The sequence below is a fragment of the Homo sapiens genome, chromosome 15, assembly GCF_000001405.40.
Source record: "Homo sapiens chromosome 15, GRCh38.p14 Primary Assembly".
Lineage (NCBI taxonomy): Eukaryota > Metazoa > Chordata > Mammalia > Primates > Hominidae > Homo > Homo sapiens.
The window spans coordinates 85,367,939-85,387,602 of record NC_000015.10 but is presented as its reverse complement, the minus strand read 5'-3'; the positions used below and the strand labels follow the sequence as shown (position 1 = coordinate 85,387,602).

The 19,664-nt window shown below is 44.0% G+C and overlaps 1 protein-coding gene, 1 long non-coding RNA gene and 1 other non-coding gene across 4 annotated transcripts in view, besides 3 other annotated features; 1 reads left to right on the top strand and 2 right to left on the bottom strand.

Moving 5' to 3' along the window:
* Nucleotides 1–7,000, bottom strand: part of AKAP13 (A-kinase anchoring protein 13) — a 368,756-nt gene extending 361,756 nt beyond the window's left edge. For both annotated transcript variants that reach the window (NM_007200.5, NM_006738.6), the window contains exon 1: nucleotides 6,805–7,000. The gene's annotated coding sequence lies outside the window, so the exon portion shown is untranslated. The remainder of the gene's footprint in view (nucleotides 1–6,804) is intronic.
* On the top strand, nucleotides 3,206–3,927 carry LOC124903546 (uncharacterized). The gene is made up of 3 exons (XR_007064747.1): nucleotides 3,206–3,396; nucleotides 3,493–3,540; nucleotides 3,868–3,927. It is a non-coding gene; the product is annotated as an uncharacterized LOC124903546 (long non-coding RNA).
* Nucleotides 6,120–6,689: a silencer, noted in NCBI's record as "silent region_6780". NCBI's record gives its function as "represses an Ori minimal core promoter by ATAC-STARR-seq in GM12878 lymphoblastoid cells {active_cell/tissue: GM12878}" and the evidence as "EXISTENCE:reporter gene assay evidence [ECO:0000049][PMID:35858748]".
* Nucleotides 6,296–6,463: a silencer, noted in NCBI's record as "fragment chr15:85924371-85924538 (GRCh37/hg19 assembly coordinates)". NCBI's record gives its function as "represses an EF-1alpha promoter that drives an FKBP-Casp9 reporter gene in an ReSE screen in K562 erythroleukemia cells {active_cell/tissue: K562}" and the evidence as "EXISTENCE:reporter gene assay evidence [ECO:0000049][PMID:32094911]".
* MIR7706 (microRNA 7706) lies at nucleotides 6,941–7,007 on the bottom strand. The gene has a single exon (NR_106993.1). It is a non-coding gene; the product is annotated as a microRNA 7706 (primary transcript).
* Nucleotides 7,070–7,149: a silencer, noted in NCBI's record as "silent region_6779". NCBI's record gives its function as "represses an Ori minimal core promoter by ATAC-STARR-seq in GM12878 lymphoblastoid cells {active_cell/tissue: GM12878}" and the evidence as "EXISTENCE:reporter gene assay evidence [ECO:0000049][PMID:35858748]".

Here is a 19,664-nt window from a genome sequence, read left to right as displayed (position 1 = left end):
CTGTAATCCCTACACTTTGGGAGGCCACAGTGGGAGGATCACTTCATCCCGGGAGTTTGAGGCCAGCCTGGGCAACATAGAGAGACTCTGTCTCTACAAAAATAAAAAAATTAGCCAGGTAGTGCATGACTGTGATCCCAACTACTTGGGAGGCTGACGTGGGAGAATCGCTTGGGCCCAGGAGATCAAGGCTGCAGTGAGTGGTTATCCTACCACTGCATTCCACACTGGACAACTGAGTGAGACCCTATCTTTTTTTGTTTTTTTAAGACGGACTCTCGTTCTATCACCCAGGCTGGAGTAAAGTGGCGCAATGTCGGCTCACTGTAACCTCCATCTCCCGGGCTAAAGCAATTCTCCTGTCTCAGCCTCCCAAGTAGCTGGGATTACAGGCGCCCACCACCACGCCCAGCTATTTTTTGTATTTTTTAGTAGAGACGGGGTTTTGCCATGTCAGCCAGGCTGGTCTCGAACTCCTGATCTCAGGTGATCCACCCGCCTCAGCCTCCAAAGTGCTAGGATTACAGGCGTGAGCCACCACACCCGGCTGAGACCTCATCTTAAAAAAGAAAAAAAAGAAAAAGAAAAACCCAGCAGGACTTGTGGATAACAGCAAGATGAATCTAAAATATGCACAAAAGGCAATGCAACTAAAATACCCAAAAAACAATTCTGAAAAATAATAAGATAACTCACACTACCTGATTTTAAAACTTACTCTAAGGTGACAGTAATCAACAGTGAGGTGATAGAGAAATGAAAGACACAGATCAATGGAATAGGAGAGAGAATCCAGAAACAAAACCACACATTTATGATCAACTTGCAAAAAAAAAAAGGCACAAAGGTAATCAACAGAGAAAGGACAGTCTTTTCAAAAACTGTTGCTGGAAAAATTGTAAATCCATCCACAAAAAAATAAACTCAATGCATACCTTGCACCATTTAGGAAAATTAAATCAAAGCAGATAATAAATGTAAATATAAAATTTTAAATGATAAAACTTCTAGGCGAGCCGGGCACAATAGCTCACGCCTGTAATCCCAGCACTTTGGGAGGCTGCGGTGGGTGGCTCACTTGAGGTCAGGAGTTCAGACCACCCTGGTCAACATGGTGAAACCCCATCACTAGTAAAAATACAAAAATTAGGCATGGTGGTGGGTGCCTGTAATCCCAGCTACTCAGGAGGCTGAGGCAGGAGAATCACTTGAACCCGGGAGGCGGAGATTCCAGTGAACAAGATCTCACTCACGCCAGCCTGGATGACAGAGTGAGACTCCATCTCTAAAAAAAAAAATAATAACTTGTAGGAGGAAATATAGGGGAAAGTCTTTGAGCTCTTAAGTTAGGCAAAGATTTCTAAACTATTATACCAAAAGCATGATCCACTCAGGGAAAAAACAAAAAAACAAAAAAACACTGGATATCATAAAAATTAAGAACTTCTGCTCTTCAAAAGACATTATTAAGACAAGAAGGCCAGACACAGTGGCTCGCGCCTGTAATCCCAGCACTTTGGGAGGCCGAGGCAGGCAGATCACTTGAGGTTAGGAGTTCAAGATCAGCCTGGCCAACATGGAAAAGCCCCATCTCTACTAAAATACAAAAATTAGCTGGGTGTGGTGGTGTGTGCCTGTAATCCCAGCTACTCGGGAGGTTAAGGCAGGAGAATCACTTGAACCCAGGAGGCAGACGTTGCAGTGAGCCAAGATCTCACCACTGTACTCCAGCCTAGGTGACAGAGCCAAACTCCATCTCGAAACAAACAAACAAAAAAAGACATTATTAAGACAAGTAAAAACAGACTAGGAGAAAATATCTGCAAATCATGTATTTGATTCCAAAGTATATACAAAAACTCATTTTTTAAGCAAAAGATTTTGAATTGACATCAAAGAATGACAAATAATCAGATGAAAAGATACTTAATATCATTAGTCATTGGGCAAATGAATAAAAAGGCTACATTCCGTGTGATTCCATTTTTACAACATTCTTGAAAAGGCAAAAAACCATGGAGACAGAAAACAGATCAGCAATTTCCAGAGTCTGGGGGTAGAGAACCGGTTGAGTACAAAAGGGCTCAGAAGAATTCTGGAGGATGAAGGGACTGTCCTGTTTGCAGCAGTGGATATATGAATGTATACACCTGTCAAAACTCAGAGAATGTTACACTAAAATGGCGGAATTTTAGTGAATGTAAACTATACATATGAATAATTAAAGAATGAAAAAATAGAGACTAAAGAGACATAATGATGTGCTGAGTGAACTTTAATTTTACTCTGTCCAAAATTTTTCTTAATCAACTATAAAAGATATTTGGGAGACAAATAGAGAAAGTTGAATAGGTATTGAATAATATTATAGAATTAACGTTAATCTTTCTTGTTGTGAATAACTGCAGTTGGTTATGTAGAAAAAGGGTCAGCAAACTTCTGTAAAAGCCCAGATAGTAAATATTTTCTGCTTTGCAGATCACATGGTCTCTGTTGTAACTACTCAACTCTGCTACTATAGCACCAAAGTAGCCAGAGAAGAGCTTACAGAGTGACATAAATGGTCAAAAACCTCACACGTTTTCCTTCTCTCCCATACTAGCACCCATATCATACAAACACACTGATATCCACATTCCCCAGGCACTGAACACAGCATTGCCCCACACAAATGTTCATACAATCACGGTATTTCAGTACCAGGTCCATCCTTACAGCAAGGTCTGACAAAAACACATTATCCATTCATCTTCTATTCATAACGTCACAATCAACTTGTAGGTGGACGAGAAAACTATAAATATGAGGACAAACGCAGGAAACAAACTTTCTTCCACTGACCAGTGAGGACAGATGCATGAAACAAACCTTTTTTTTTTTTTTTTTCAGACGGAGTCTCGCTCTGTCGCCCAGACTGGAGCACAGTGGCATGATCTCGGCTCATTGCAACCTCCACCTCCCGGGTTCAAGCGATTCTCCTGCCTCAGCCTCCCAAGTAGCTGGGATTACAGGCACCTGCCACCCTGCCGGGCTAGTTTTTGTATTTTTAGTAGAGATGTGGTTTCACCATGTTGGCCAGGCTGGTCTTGAACTCCTGACCTCAAGTGATCCGCCCGCCTCAGCCTCCCAAAGTGCTGGGATTACAGGCGTGAGCCACTGCGCCAGGCTATGAAACAAACTTTCTTCCACCCACAGCTTTCTCGTCTCTCCCCATTTACAGCAGTAAGACAGCCTAACCTGGGAAAGAGAGAGGGAAGCTACTTCCAAATGGATGCCTGTCCCCATCAGTAATAACCAAGTCTATTCAAGTGCCAGATGTTAACTTTAAAAGAAGGGAACATCAAAAGTCCAACTTTCTTCGCCTAGCTTTGTCAGGAATGTTTTTACCCTCAATCTGTAAGTGTGACCAACTGTAATTTTTAAAGGTTTATCCTCAATCTGTAAGTTTGATCAAATATAATTTTTAAAGGTTTACTATAATCTCTTCATCAGAAAACTAATGGAAAGATGGAATAAAATCTAAAGAAATGTCCTTAACAGGTAAATATTTCTAGAATGTATCTACTCCATCTAGGTAGTGTAAGTATTCTAAACTATGCTAGTATAACTGATTTAAATCACTGCCTTCTTCTGTAAATGGTGTCACCTTTAAAGTGTTATCTTGAAGAGGAAGTGAGTGATTTGCTCATGTCTCTGTACTGAACTAACACTGTTAACACCCAGTCCAGCTCTACCTTAAACAAGTTTGAGAAATACAGACACAATCCACACTTATTTGCCAAGACTAAGGTAAAATAAAGTTGGAACTCATATCCTCTTATGACTGATGTACTGAAAACAATCCATCTCTCACTGTTGCCCAAATAGCATAGTCACAAAGAGCTCTACCCTACCAAGCCACTCTGCAAGTCCCACTCTCAAAGGAAGACTCACAGGTGACTGAGAAGATAAACTCGCTATTGTTTCCATTATCCTTCAGTTCATCTGGCACCTTTGAAGAAATAGACTTCGATAAGACTCACAAGTCTCAAGGCCCCTTCTTTATGAAAGAAATAGCTAAACCTCTACACTCAGAAGCATCAGACTTTTAAGAATGCTTAAGTCATGTAAAAATGTACCAAAATTATTATCATTACAGCTACTAGGTAATAGCTGCCTACTCCATGTTAGATACTGTAGTTAAGTACCTCACATAGTTTCACTGATTCCTAAGAACACTGTTACTAACGCTTATGGAGTAGGAAACTGAAGCTCTGAGAGGCTATGCAACTAGTCAATGGAAGTGTGGAGATCTGAACGCTACCTAGTTCCAAAGGGTGTACTTTTTTCTAAAATTTCTAATTTTTTTCCAATTTCACAATGGAGGGAGAGTTGTGACTAGATTTGTCCAACAATTTTAATAATTTCACTGGCTGGGTGGAGTGGCTCACGTCTGTAATTCCAACACTGTGGGAGGCTGAGGTGGGAGGATGGCTTGGGTCCAGGAGTTAGAGACAACTGGGCAACAGTGAAGATTCCGACTCTAAAAAAAAACAATAATAATTTCACAAAAAGGGGGGGGCTGATTTCTAAATTGGAACCTCTTGTTGAAATCCTTAGAGCGCTAGTTAAACCCACTTCTTTTCAAAAAATAATTGACAGATTAAAAAAAGGTTAGAAATCCTTTTAAAGTAAATGTCATCACAGATCTGCAAGTGAACTGTCATTCTGGACAGGTCCCCAGTTAGTGGCTCTCTCCTGTGTACGCTAGCTACCACTAGGCAGTAAAAATAATTTACCCAATTCAAACACGTACCGTGCCTGCACTATGTTAAGACTACCGGCAAAGAGGGTAAAAAGCTAAATAAGGTCTATCACAGCCCTCAAGGAGTTAAAGGACTAGAGGAGGAGTCCATTTATAGTATAGTATGTGTGCAGTTACCATTTAGTCAAGGCAAAAGAAGTGTGAGAAATCCTAAAACAATAGTACCTACAGTATAACATGCCATCACCGCCCAGAGAAGGAAAGCAACTAGTGCACTCGTCACGTCATGTTGTAAGTAGTACTTGCTTACATTATGTCCCTCCCTGACAATCCCTTCCAACCTCTGTCAACCTCCTTCCCCACAATCACACACACAAAACCACACAACCAGGAAGGGAAGCCATGGAGCGAGTACTGTGAATCCTAAAAGCGGCTCTGTAATTTAAAAGTGCAATGGCTGTACCTGAAGAAAATTTGTCTTTAGCTTCATCAGGTGAAGAAAATTGGTTTTATAACACAAGGCCCACCAAACCAGAAAAGCCCAGGAACGCTTCTCCACAGGACTCACTTAGCACGAGAAATCACTCTGAGCAAACTGACACACACAGTATTTCTCAAATTTTTCTTTTTCATTTAGCAGATGGTAAAGGAATACAACTGAAGTTAACAATAAATGACACTCTGGCCATTTTGCTCCACTATGAATGACAGACATTTAAGCTAGTTCCATCTGGGGAACTGAAACAGAATCATGTTCATATAATAAGCCACACAAACCAAATTAAGTGTAATATGTGCACCCAAACTTGACAAAACTTGTACTTAATGCAGCCTGCAAATCCCCAAGAGTCCACGACAGAATACAAGAATAGTAACAATGATTTATCTCAACTGATCTTAGCTTCTTCACAAACTTGCCAATAATGACCTTTCAAGAACTGCACCGTTTGTCCTCATCTGCGCAATCCAACAGTTCAGAAAAACTGAAGAAAATGCTTCTTCTAAAAATAAAACACTTGTTGTGGGGGGGACTACTAACAAAAAAAAAGGCACACTGGTTTTTACTGTACTGAAGCAATAAACTCTCCAAATAACTTCATTAAGGAGTGTCATTAGCAAAGAATGAACACCAAAATACCGCTCAATCCAATTTTCATTGTGAATTCCGGGATCTAGAAAATTAAATGGGACGGTATCACTCTGCTATAAGAACTATTTCCAAAACAAAACAAACCTATCTACCCCCTTTCTTGATTTTTTTTTAAAAAGTTTTAGGGTTTTTCCTTTTTTCAACTTCACATACTTCGTGGCTTTGCAAAAAAAAAAAAAAAAAAAAAGCAGTAAACCGTATTTACCAAAAAAAAAAAAAAAAGTTTTGTTTGGTATCAAAGTATAGCTGCAAGCTGAGCCGGCTGGCTGCACGGGTCCCAGAGCGCGTGGGGACCGCACGGGTCTCCTGGGCCGCTCGCCTGCGACCCGCGCGGGTCAGCTGGGCCGCACCCCCGAGAAGCCGCGGAGAGGCACCGACAGGCAGGCGCGGCCCGACGTGTTTACCGTCCGCGTCGACCCCGGGGAGCCGCTCCCTCGCGCCCGCAGCACTTGTTCACGGCGCGGACTCCACGGCGGGGACTCCACACCGCGGCCGCCCGCCCCAGGGGAGGAGTGAGCCCGCCCCGGCGGCGCCGACCCGGGGACCCGGGGCAAGGATTCGGGGCCTCGCTGGGGGCGGAGCGCCTGAGGTAGCATCGGCGGCCGGGCGCGCCCCCCACCCGGAAAGCGGCGACGGCCTCTAAGTTGGGCTGCGGAGTGGGAGGCGCGCCGAGCCCCAAGCAGACAATGCGGGAGAAGGGCGATGCGCAGGGAGGAGGGGTCCGCAGACCTGAGGTCCCGGCGCCGCCCGGCGACCCGTCTGTCCAGCCCGCCCCCGAAACCCCCGCAGCCCCCGCCCCTCCTCCGGGGCCCGCCCCACCGAGCAACCGCAGGGGACTGGCCGCGCTCCGCGCCCCGACCCACAAATCACAAAACTTCCCCCAACTCCGCCAACTAAGTTGCGCTCTCACCGTGCGGCTCCCGGGGCTCCCCCGCGGGCCGAGCTGGGACAACTCTTCACCTTCGCCGCGGAGAAAGACAATAGGCGGCCGCTCCCCCGGAGGCGGCTAAAGCGGCGGCGACCGAGGCGAGCAATGGGCACGGCAGTCTCGGCAGAGCACAGGCGCTTCACCGCGGCTGCTCGGGCTCCGCGCTGGCCCTGCACACAGCTCCAGTCCGCGCATGCGCCGAAAGACGCTCGGGAGGGTGGGCGGGGCACGCGGGAAGGCGGTAACGCCTGCGAGTCCTCCCGTGAGTACACGCGGAGCAAGAACTGCGAGCTGGGATTGCACGGCAGAACTGCCCATCTCGCTGCATGAGACCAATAGTAAGGCTCCTGGACGGGGCACTCAGGTTGCTAAGGGAGGCTGAGGTTGACCGCCGCTGCTGCTCGGCGGCAAAGTGATCAAAGTAGGGTGGCTGGCAGAGGCTGCTCTGGGAAATGCCCACCCACGGTCTCCTCTCCGCCCTGTCTCCAGAAACCGCCCTTCCTCTGTGTACTGGTGGTTACCTGAGCTGCAGCACTTAACCACACATCGTGAAATGATTTACTCCTCTATTTCCCCCACTTCAACTCAGGAAGTGGGGTTTAGTCTTCTGTGTCCACAGCCTAGGACCGTCTAAGGTATTAGGTATTAAATATAGGTATTAAACAAGTGTTGGATGGATGCACGGCGCTATGGCGGAATCACAATTGTGACAGTGCATTCCGTGAACTTCTGGCTACTCGATCACCACAAAGTCATTCCGTGTTCGAGCTGCAAAGGACCTCAAAAATCATCTGGTTGCTTTGGGAAACAAAATGTGGTCCGTGTACCAATGGTGCCGGTAACCACCGGCCCACAGAGGAAGGGCGGTTTCTGGAGACAGGGCGGAGAATATATTAGTTGGTACACGAAGAAACTTCTTTTTTCAAATAGTTAAGTGTTTTTAGTGCGCATTAGGAGGGAAATGCCTATCACGTCAAACCACTGTTTCATTAATGTTATTTCTTAGGTCAAATAAAAAGTGGCAAAAAACGAAAGCACTTCAAGAAAAGTGTTAAGTAAAAAACTGAGACAATTTATATGCAGTTGAAGAACGTGTAAAACTAGTTGATAGTGATTGAAGTAAGAACAGCGGTTAGGTAGGAGGAGAAGATTATTGGCTGGGAAGGAGGAGGAGGGAACCCTCTGGGGTGCTGGTTCTGTATTTTGACCTGGGTGATAGATAACAAAAGTATATACATGAATAAAAAATACATCCAGTGCACTTTAGTGCACTTTGCACATTTTAAACATGTATTTTTAATGTCAGTTTTCAAAAATCTGGTACAGGATATTACCCCCCCGCCCCCAAAAGAAAAGCAAAGATGCAAATGACTGCCATTTGGGAAACACTGATCCAGGCGGCTCACTAGCAGTGACCAAACACCTGAGAAAGGGTATTGTGAATACCTGATGTGTGTGCCAGGAACTTCCATTGTTGAATAGCTCCAAATCTCAGAAATGCTCCTAATGTTGAGCTCTGGTGCTCACATATATTTTCTCTTTTTTTCTTTTTTCTTTTTTTTTTTTTTTTTTTTTTTGAGGCAGAGTTTCACTCTTGTTGCCCAGGCTGGAGTGCAATGGTGCAATCTCAGCTCACTGTAACCTCCACCTCCAGGGTTCAAGCGATTCTCCTGCCTCAGCCTCCCAAGTAGCTGGGATTACAGGTACCCACCACCACACCCGGCTAATTTTTTTATTTTTAGTAGAGACAGTGTTTCACCATGTTGGCCAGGCTGGTCTCAAACTCCTGACCTCAGGTGCTCCACCCACCTCGGCCTCCCAAATTGCCGGGATTACAGGCATGAGCCACCGCACCCGGCCCTATTTTCTTAAGTAACCCTCACCGAATGGCTTTAAAAAAAAAAAAAGAAAAGAAAAGAAAGGCCAAACATGCCCAGTTCTTCATGTGAAATTATTTCTGTATCACTTCATCATGCTGCTCACCCTCTTCCACTGTTCTCTAATCTGTCCTTGTTGATTTTTAAAAACTGGCACAAGGCCTGGCGCGGTGGCTCACACCTGTAATCCCAGCACTTTGGGAGGCTGAGGAGGGCAGATTGCTCGAGCCCAGGAGTTCGAGACCAGCCTGGGCATCAATTGAAACGCCATCTGTACTAACAAATACAAAAATTAGCCAAGCATGGTAGCCCAAATCTTAGCTACTTGGGAGGCTCAGGTGGAAGGATTGCTTGAGCCCAGGAGGCAGAGGTTGCAGTGAGCCAAATCATGCCACTGTACCCCAGCCTGGGTGACAGAGCCAGACCCTATCTCAAAAAAAAAAAAAAAAAGGCTGGCACAGAGAGAGAAGCAGCCTATCATGAGCCGGTCACTTCTCAAAGAACCTGAGTCTTCTGTGAAGCAAGAGTGCTAACCAAGAAAATCACTTGGACCCTAACATTTGATAACCCAGTGAACTTCCCCCTTAGAACCTAGCTTGTTTGTTTCAGAGGCAGCAGTAAATGTTACCATGTCATCTTTCTACGGACACTGACAACACCGTTCCCTGCTCCCCGCCTCAGCAGGATTTACACCTTTCCAGTGGGCTGCAGGAAAAGTTAAGAGTCTAGCACTTCTTGAATTTACTGTGCTTACAAATCACCTGGGAGTGTTTGTTAAATGTGGATTCTGATTCAGTAAGTCTGGGGTGGCATCTGGGATTCCGCATTTCTAAAAAGCTCCCAGGTGCTACTGACGTAGCTATTTTGAAACCCGACTTTTTTTTTTTTTTTTTTTTTTAAGACAGAGTCTCACTCTATTGTCCAGGCTGGAATGCAGTGTCATGATCTCGGCTCACTGAAACCTCCGCCTCCCCGGTTCAAGCGATTATCCTGCCTCAGCCCCCCAAGTAGCTAGGATTACAGGTTCACACCACCACACCCAGCTAGTTTTTGTATTTTTGGTAGAGACAGAGTGTCACCATATTGGCCAGGCTGGCCTTGAACTCCTGACCTTAGGCGATCTGCCCGCCTCGGCCTCCCAAAGTGCTGGGATTACAGGCATGAACCACCATGCCCAGCCTGAAACCCAACTTTGAAGGCAGGAGTCTACCCTAAATTCCCCAAACGGTTGAGCCCTCTGTCCTCCTTGGGAATTCCTAAATTGTTATCTGCATGGCTGATGTCGTCTCATCATTCAGGCCTCAGCTCAAATGATCCTCCTCAGAGAAACCTTCCTTGGCCACCCTCCCTAAATTGACCCACTCTAATCTAGTCCCTCTCTTGCGTATTACTCAGTTTTTTCCATAGCATTTATCTCAATCTGAAAGTACCTTATTTATCTTGTGTGTTTATTGGCTCCTCCCACTATAATGTAAGCTCCTTGAAGTATGCTGTGTTTACCCCCTCTCTCCTGCCCCTCTAATAGTGTCTGGTTCACAGTATGGACTCAATGAATTTCACATTAGTGAACTTGTACAGAAGAAGCTATTACAAGGAGCCTTCAAACTGAGTGTCCCTGATACTAAAGACTTGTTCTTCCAAGGTGTACCAAATATTTCTACATAGTATGCCATATTTCACAGAAAGAGGTTGCAGGTTTAATCATTTCCTCATGTACTCTCAGTAAGTTCGCAAGCCAGGAAAGATGCCTTACTAAACAGTGGTGGGGTTTTGTATCTCTGAACTATCTCTCCATTGACTTATATATCTTCCCAACTGATTTACACAGGTTCTATATAATACCTAAAAATATAACAAGAATAAATCCCATTTTACAGAGAGTTCCTGGCAATGCCAAAGCAAAGAAAAAACAAAATTAACACAGTTAAAAGAGCATAAATTTCTCTTGAAGCTCACACTGTCTAACCTGTCCACTTTGATAATAGAAGCACTGGAACAAGTATATCCCAGTGTTCCTTCACAGCAGTGGACATTGTATTGCATTTGTGATAGAAATAGTGTCCTGATCATGCTTTGAGAGCTTCCACTCTCAGCTCCTTGCTTGGTGTGAAGCCAGCTCTACCACAGCCCCAATTCCATGGCCTCAGCGTGGAATCCAGACCTGACTCTCCTGATGTATCCTATCCACGGGCAACGGTGACTACTTCCAGACTACTCTGCTGGAACTAGGGTCTTGTTTGACTGGAATATTTGTCTCCCTTAAATGGAATCTGGAAGGATATACCTGTCAGCCATCTTGTCACCACAAAGAAAGAACCTTTAGAATGGAACTGGAACAACGGGAAGTAAACAGAGATGAAGAAAAACAGTGTCTTAGTGACACTAGTTGAACTGCTGAATCCGGCAATGTAGACTTTTCAATCCTGTAGGCCAATAAAGCCTGGCACAGTGGAGGTTTCTGTCACTTGCATCCAGAAGAGTTCTAATTGCCACACCACCCATGAGCTGATGATCCCTGGCCAATTCCCTGACAAATGTCTATTGAGAGTTTACTGTGTTCCAGGCATTAGTCATGGTCCTGGGGTTATAGGTGAAGAAGAGGTTACTGTCTTTAAGAAACTCACAGTCAATTGAAGGCAGGCAAACCAGGAAGAAATCAAATGTGTAGGTGCCTTTAAAGAGGCCAATGGAGGGTGTTATGGGGAACAGAGAGGAGTATTTCTCCTAGTTAAAGGATGAAAGTTTAGGAAAGACATCCAAGAGGATGAGACAGATAAGCTGGGTCTTGGAAGACAATCAGGCAGATAAAGAACAGTGGGGTAGTGCAGGAGACTAGGGTGTGTGTGCACAGATAATAGAATGACCTTTCTAGAAAAGGGAAGAGCAAATTCAAAGACACGGCGGTATCAGAAATACAACACACATAAGAAACTGGGTGGGAGATGAAGCTGAGGGCAGGGAGTGGCAGCCAGGTCACGAATGGCCTGGTACGCAGCCCTGGTAAGGAGTGTGTCCCTTATTCTGAAAGGCAAAGAGGAAACCTCAAAATGTGTGAAGAAATAGAACAACAGTGAGAGCAGATTTTCATCTTGTAATAGAAAGATCACCTTACCACCATATGTCGAGGCTGGATTTAAGTTGGGGATGAGGATGGAAGAGAACAAGGGAATCTTTAAGAGAAATCTTCCTCCAGGCAGAAGGTTTTGCAGTCTAGAGCTGAATTTTTATTTCTTGGGGGCAGAGGGAATCTTGCCTCCCTGATGTCAAGCCCAATGTTATCCAATATATATGAGCCATATGTATGCTTTAGAATTTTCCAGTAGTCACATTTAAAAAGTAAAAAAGAAGCAGGTGAAATTTGTTAATGGGGTATTTTTACATTCTATCTATTGTGCTAAGTCTTCAAAATAATCCAGTGTGTATTTACACTTACAGCACATTTCAATTCAGTCTAGTCACATTTCAAGTGCTCAAAAGCCATGTGTGGCTGATGGCTAGTGTACTGGACAGCAAAGGTGAGGTTGATTGCTTCTGATACAGAGCCTCTATCTAGGAATTCCTTCCAAACCTCAATATGTTCCTAAAGCCAAAATTCCTGCACCATACCTCTTCACTTGCATTATCTCATTTATTCATCACAACAACCCTAGGCTGGCACTATTATCCTCCTTTTACAAGTAACAAGTAATCTCTTTTACAGAGATTAAGTAATTTGCTCCAAGTCACATAGCTACTGATTGGCACCGCTTATCGTTCAAGAGATGAAAACTAAGGGAAAGTTGCCAAATCCAAGTTAGAATAGTACTTGAATACAATTTCCCTCATTAGGGCTCTCTCACCTCCTCTTCCTCCTCCCCTCTGTACTTGGAACTATGAACCTATCTAGTCAGCCTAGCTACAGAGTAGGTGCTCAGTAGAGAGCTGATTAAGCAACCAGTTCCTTGTTGAGAATACATCTCAGGAATTCTACAGGCGCAAACTAAGCAGAGATATGGCTTAAGGTTATATGCTGGATTGTGGGTAAATGCACAGTAAATGGCATTTATCATTACGATTATTACCAGGTCAGATACTATTAACATTTTAGGGACCTTGCTGCATATTCATTGCAAGCAGTCTTCCAAAACAGTTGTGCTGATTTATAATTTACATCCCTGTCGTCAGGGCATCAGAGTGCCTAACCTCTCTAATTTAAGTTCTTCTTGCATGAAACAGAAGGAGTTTAGAAGTGGTCAGAACTGGCCGGGCGCAGTGGCTCACGCCTGTAATCCCAGCACTTTGGGAGGCCCAAGCGAGCAGATCACAAGGTCAAGAGATCAAGACCGTCCTGGCTAACATGGTGAAACCCCATCTCTACTAAAAATACAAACAATTAGCTGGGCGTGGTGGCACACGCCTATAGTCGCAGCTACTCGGGAGGCTGAGGCAGGAGAATTGCTTGAACCCAGGAGGCGGAGGTTGCAATGAGCTGAGATCACACCACTCCAGCCTGGGCTACAGAGTGAGACTCTGTCTCAAAAGGAAAAAAGAAAAAAGAAGAGTTCAGAGCTAAGTTTGGATCATGGATGCTCAAATTCTTTGTCTGTAAAGGGATCACTCCCACCCAATAGCCACATTATAACAAATATAACCCTGAGCACATTGTCTGGCACAATGCAAGTTGCTCTGTCCACTTTACATCCCTCCTCCACTTCCCCCTTGAGAGACAATAAGATAAAATGAAGTCTAGGAGTAGATCTGATTATGCAGAAAAATTGATAATTGACAAATGCAGGGAAACATGCACCTTGCCAAAATTGTCATAGAGAATTTTCAACAAAAAGTGCATATTATCATGTACTGACTTCCTCAATACTTGCAGCAGCCACCCAGTCTCCTGCCCCCAGAGGCTCCCCAGCCTTTAATTAATAAATGCCAGATGTACTGCTTATTGATAGAACAATTTATTTCATTTCTGAAACCCTTGCTTTTCTCCATAACGACCTTCCCAGCAAAAGGTTTGCTTGAAGGCTGCTCATGAGACCAAATTGAGCTTCTTAAGTCATTATGTTTCCAGTGGTAGAAGGGTGAGGGATGCTGGGTTGATAGGGGGGAAGGAATCACAAATGCCTCAGGATTAAGGGACCACCCTGGCCCCAAACAAAGTTATTGCCATATTTTTTAGCCTGGAGTCAGGGGATTTAATTTTAGGGGCACGAAAGGGTCCAGAGATTCTCTCTCAATAACTGCACGAAAGGGTCCAGAGATTCTCTCTCAATAACTGCAAAATAAAACTAGAGTCACTTTTCAGGGTACCGTTATTTTGATTTGGTTAGGTTTCATTTGGTATTGACTTTATATGCGCATTCCAGTTTGGAGAAGATGGGGGCTGTTTTTCTGCCTCCAGAAAGATTTATGGGCGAGCTCAAGTACTGCACATTTCCTCCTATTGCTTTTCTCTTTATGCCCAACCTTTTCCAGTTTATTCAGCTGCTCTCATAATTATCCCCAATTATTTATAATGGTAGGTTTCTGAAGCTGGAGTTAGAGAAACACTATGTTGTTGAGCCCCAAACGCTATTTAATGGAAATGGACTCCAACAACTCATGTGAGGCCTAAGCTCAGGCTTTCTTGGGAAGAACTTGTTAAAAAATTTTCTTCACTACTAATAGAATTTTTTTCCAAAACTATATTGCATTTTCTATATTAAAGGAAAGAAGTCCTTATTTGTGTACAACTATTACAAATAACGGCCGTCTTGGCACAGCTGAAATCAGTTTTTCTTAAAGTGCTTCTCTTGGAGCATTAATTCCTTAGAAAAACCATTGTCTGTTTAAATGAATATAAGAAATGCTTTATTTTATATTTCTCTCCTCATGAAGATTAACTGTGCATAGTAGCATTACATATTAAGGCCTTGAGAAGTCCTGCATTTGAAAAACCCCAACTGTTTGGCTTTGCTTAATCCTATATTACTCAAACTTATTTGACCATGACACAAACTGCCCTTGGAAAACACATTAATATATCATATCCCATTAAGGGCACATTTTTGAGAAACACTGCCTGAACCCATTCAACCTATCTTCCAGAAAGAACAGGGTAGGTATTACTGACTCTGAAGCACCGTTTACCATTTACCCACTGTTAATGGAATAAATGTGTATATCCTCTCCAAAACTCATATGTTGAAGCCCTAATCCCCAATGTGGTGATATGAGGAGGTAGGAACTTTGGGAAATAATTAAGTTTAGATGAAGTCATCAAGGTGGAGCTCCCATGATGGGATTGGTGCCCTCATAGGAAGAGGAAGAAACACCAGGCTGGGCATGGTGGTTCACGCCTATAATCCCAGCAATTTGGGAGGCCGAGGCAAGCGGATCACTTAAGCTCAGGAGTTCGAGACCAGCCTGACCAACATGGTGAAACCCTGTCTCTACTAAAAATACAAAAATTAGCTGGGTGTGGTGGTGCACACCTGTAATCCCAGCTACTGGGGAGGCTGAGGCAGGAGAATCTCTTGAACCCGGGAGGTGGAGGTTGCAATGAGCCAAGATTGCACCACTGCACTCCAGCCTGGGCAACAGAGCAAGACTCTGTCTCAAAAAACAAAAAAGGAAACACCAGAGGCTCCTCTCTCTGCTAGGTAAGAAAACAAAGAAAGGGTGGCCATCCGCAAGTAAGGAAGCAGGCCCTCACCAAGGAGTGAATCTGCCAGCATCTTGATCTTAGACTTTTCAGCCTCCAGAATGGGAAATAAATGTCTGTTGTTTAACCCACCCGGTCTATGGTATTTTGTACTAGCAGCTTGAGCTAAGACACCCACACTATCATTTGTTTCAAAAGGGACACCTAGTCCAAACCAAGAGGTGATCTCTTAGTTCAGAAAGGAAAATAGGCCGGGCGCAGTGGCTCACGCCTGTAATCCCAGGACTCTGGGAAGCCGAGGCGGGCGGATCACGAGGTCAGGAGATCGAGACCATCCTGGCGAACACGGTGAAACCCCGTCTCTACTAAAAACACAAAAAAATTAGCCGGGCATGGTGGTGTGTGCCTGTAGTCCCAGCTACTCGGGAGGCTGAGGCAGGAGAATGGCGTGAACCTGGTAGGCGGAGTTTGCGGTGAGCCGAGATCGCGCCACTGCACTCCAGCCTGGGCGACAGAGCAAGGCTCCGTCTCAAAAAAGAAAGAAAGAGAGAAAGAGAGAAAGAGAGAAAGAAAGAAAGAAAGACAGAAAGAAAGAAAGAAAGAAAGAAAGAAAGAAAGAAGGAAGGAAGGAAGGAAGGAAGGAAGGAAGGAAGGAAGGAAGGAAGGAAGGAAGGAGAGAGCCGAGCACGTTGATGCACGCCTGTAATCCCAGCACTTTGGGAGACTGATGGGGGTGGATACCTGAGGTCAGCAGTTCACGACCAGCCTAACATGCTGAAACTCCGTCTCTACTAAATACAAAAATATTAGCGGAGTGTGGTGGCGCATGCCTGTAATCTGAGCTACTTCGGAGGCTGAGACAGGAGAATCGCTTGTACCTGGGAGGAGGAGGTTGCAGTTAGCTGAGATCGCGCCCATTGCACTCCAGCGTAGGCAACAAGAGCGAAACTCCGTCTCAAAAAAAAAAAAAAAAAAAAGAAAAAAGAAAAAGAAAAACGAAAGAAAATAGATGCTTCCTAAATCTCATCCGCAGCTTGATCAGATCACTCCTACTAGGTCTCACACTCTATTCCCTCTCACTACAAGCACCTCTTCACCTGAATTGCCTGCTGGACCACAAACTTGGCTCCAAAAGTGAGAAATCCTTCTCTCCCTCATCTGCTCTATTTTCCGCTTTCCTTCTCCCTCAATCCCATCCAGTCATTTCCAGCATGCCGCCTTTTCATTCTGCCGCAATCTCTTTTACAAATTAAGGTAAAGTTTCCCATTCCTACTTCTCTTGGGCTCATTCACCAGCTTTTGTCCCTAGGATTGCAATATTCTTCTAACTGGTTTTCCTGCGTCTAATAACTCCCAACTAGTCCATGGTCCTCTCTGTAACAGAATGATTTTCCTAAAAGTACAGCCCTGACTTTTCACTTTCCTGCTCAAAAGACTTAAATGGCTCCCTTTTGCTTACAGAATAATGCTAAACACTTTAGCAGAGAATTCAAAAGTAATTGACTTCCAGTGTCAACTCACATAAAAACTACATTAAACTTCTTCTCTATCTAAACCTAACTCCCCACTCAAAGCCTTGAACTTCTTGTATGTAAACAGACCTACATTACTGAGGACACTAGAACTGAGTGCCTAAAATCTCTTTAACCTATCTTCCCCGGGAAGTAGTTCATGATCTAACTAAACTCCCGGCTAAACATCATTTATTTCAGTCCCCGCCAGAATTTATAATTTAAGCTTTATAAATTTATAATTTTATAATTTATAATTTAAGCTTTCTGGTTTATATCTCTAGTCCTTATAGTCTGCCTTCAAACTTATTCAAATCTCTCTTATCTTAAAAAATGCCTAAAATCCTTGACCCAAGTACATTCTTAAGACACTGTCCCATCTCTCTTCTTGCCTTTGCCATCATACTTTTTAGCCTACTGATTCCACCTCCTCATCACTTGCCCTCTTTTCTTAAAATCAATCTTATTAAGGTAAAATATACAGTCAACAATATTCCAATTTTAAGTGTACAATTCAATGAGTGTGACAAATGTGTAAGCACTCCAATAACTAAGAAATAGAACATTTCTGAGGTCTCCGCAAGTTTTTATATGGCCCTGCCCACAATTCCCACCCCTACCTCCGTGACCCTAGGCTATGCTAATTTTCTTTTTCTTTCTTTCCTTCTTTCTTTCTCTCTCTCTCTATGTAGAGATATCTATCTATCTATCATCTATCTATCTATTTCTGTCTTTTTGTGTGTGGGGGTGGGGGGACGGAGTCTCGCTCTGTTGCCCAGGCTGGAGTGCAGTGGCACAATCTCGGTTCACTGCAGCCTCCGCCTCCTAGGTTCAAATGATTCTCCTGTCTCAGCCTCCAAGTAGCTGGGATTACAGACATGCACCACTATACTCAGTTAATTTTTTATTTTTAGGAGAGACGAGGTTTCGCCATGTTGGCCAGGCCGGTCTCCAACTCCTGACCTCAGGTGATCCGCCAGCCTCGGCCCCCCAAAGTGCTGGGATTACAGGCATGACCCACCATGCCCGGCATTATTTCTGTCTTTTTTGGGACAGGGTCTCATTCTGTTGCCCAGACTGGGTGCAGTGGCATGATCATAGCTCACTGCAGCCTTGACCTCCCACGCTCAAGTGATCTCTACCTCAGCCTCTTGAGTAGCTGGGATGACAGGCATGCGCCACCATGGCCAGCTAGTTTTTTTTTTTTTTTTTAATTTTTTATAGAGACAGGGTCTACCTATGTTGCCCAGGCTGGCCTTGAACTCCTGGGCTCAAGTGATCCTCCCGCCTCGGCCTCCAAAGTGCTGTAATTACAGGCATGAGCCATCATGCCCGGTCTGATTTGCTTTCTATCATTATAGATAAAATTTGTCTCAGAGTTTGTTTAAATGGAATTGTAGAGTATGTGCCTTTGGAAAGTATATTATTTATAGCTGTATAAGACATTACCCTCCTAATTTAGTTTAAAACTGCAAACATTTATTATCTTGCAAAGTTTCTGAGAGTTAGGACTCTGTAAGCTACTTACATTGGTGGTTCTGGCTCAAGGTATCTCCATGAAATTGCAGTGAAGCTGTCAGTAAATCTGCATTCTCTGGACTGAAACTGGAGGATTCACTTCCAAGCTTACTCACCTGGCTGTTGTCAGGAAGTTTCCATTTCTTGCTATTTGGGCCTTTCCTTAGGACTGCTCACAACGTGGCTGCTCACAGACTGAGTGATGAGAGAGAGAGAGAGAGAGACCGAGAGAGAGAGCAGAAGCAACACTATATTTATGACATAGTCTTTAAGTTGTATACCAACCCTTCTGCCTTATTCTTTTCATTAGAAGCAAGTCACTAAGCTCAGCCCACATTTAAGAGGGGATTACACAAAGGACTGAATTCTAAGAGGTGGGGCGCATCGGGGTCTATCGCGGAGGCTAACTATAACAATCTAGTCTCTGGCCCTTCATTGATTCATGTTCTTCCCACATGCAAAAAGTACTCGCCACCTCCCAAGACCCTCAAAAATCTCAGCCCATTATAATATCAGCCCGAAGTCCAGAATCTCATAACCAAAATGAGGTCCAGCTGTAGATATAGCCCTTACATAAAGTTCTTCTTAATCATTAAGCTTTTGAAGTCTGCGAAATAGGCAAGTATTGTGCCCCCTACACACACACACACACACACACACACACACACACATACATACACATACACTCAATGTACAATGGGGAAACAGGCAAAAGATAATCACTATAGACATTCCTGTTCAAAAAGGGAGGAAATGGGGAATATAAAGGCATCATTGCTGTGGACCAGCCATGGTGGTCCATAGCAATTCTGAATCTATCCTGAGAACTGTTGTGAGTTCCTTGATTAGGAGTCAGTCCTAGTTCTTCCCAGGAGTGATTCTCATAGCTCTTGGTTCCCTCTTCTGAGTTATCTTTCCTTTTTAATGACAGGTAGTGTGTGTTTGCAATAGAGTAGTTTTCTCAGCCAGCTTCTTTCTTGTTGAATTTGAGAATCCAAAGCCCTCTTTTCATTTTGTACTGTCTCTGCCTCTTTCAATCTAAGATTATGATGTTTCTGCTCATGTAATTATTTTAAATATGTAGTGGATTTCTTATGAATCTTAATGGGGGTCCATGTTGTTAAATTAAAGTCATACTTGCAAGTCTCTTTGATATAAGCACTCATCTACTTTGGGTTTCTGCTGATAGGCAACAATTTTTTTTTTCTTTTGGGACTGGGTCTCACTCTGTCACTCAGGCTGGAGTGCAGTGGCACAATCACGGTTCACTGCAGGTTCAACCTCCTGAGTTCAAGCCATCCCCTTACC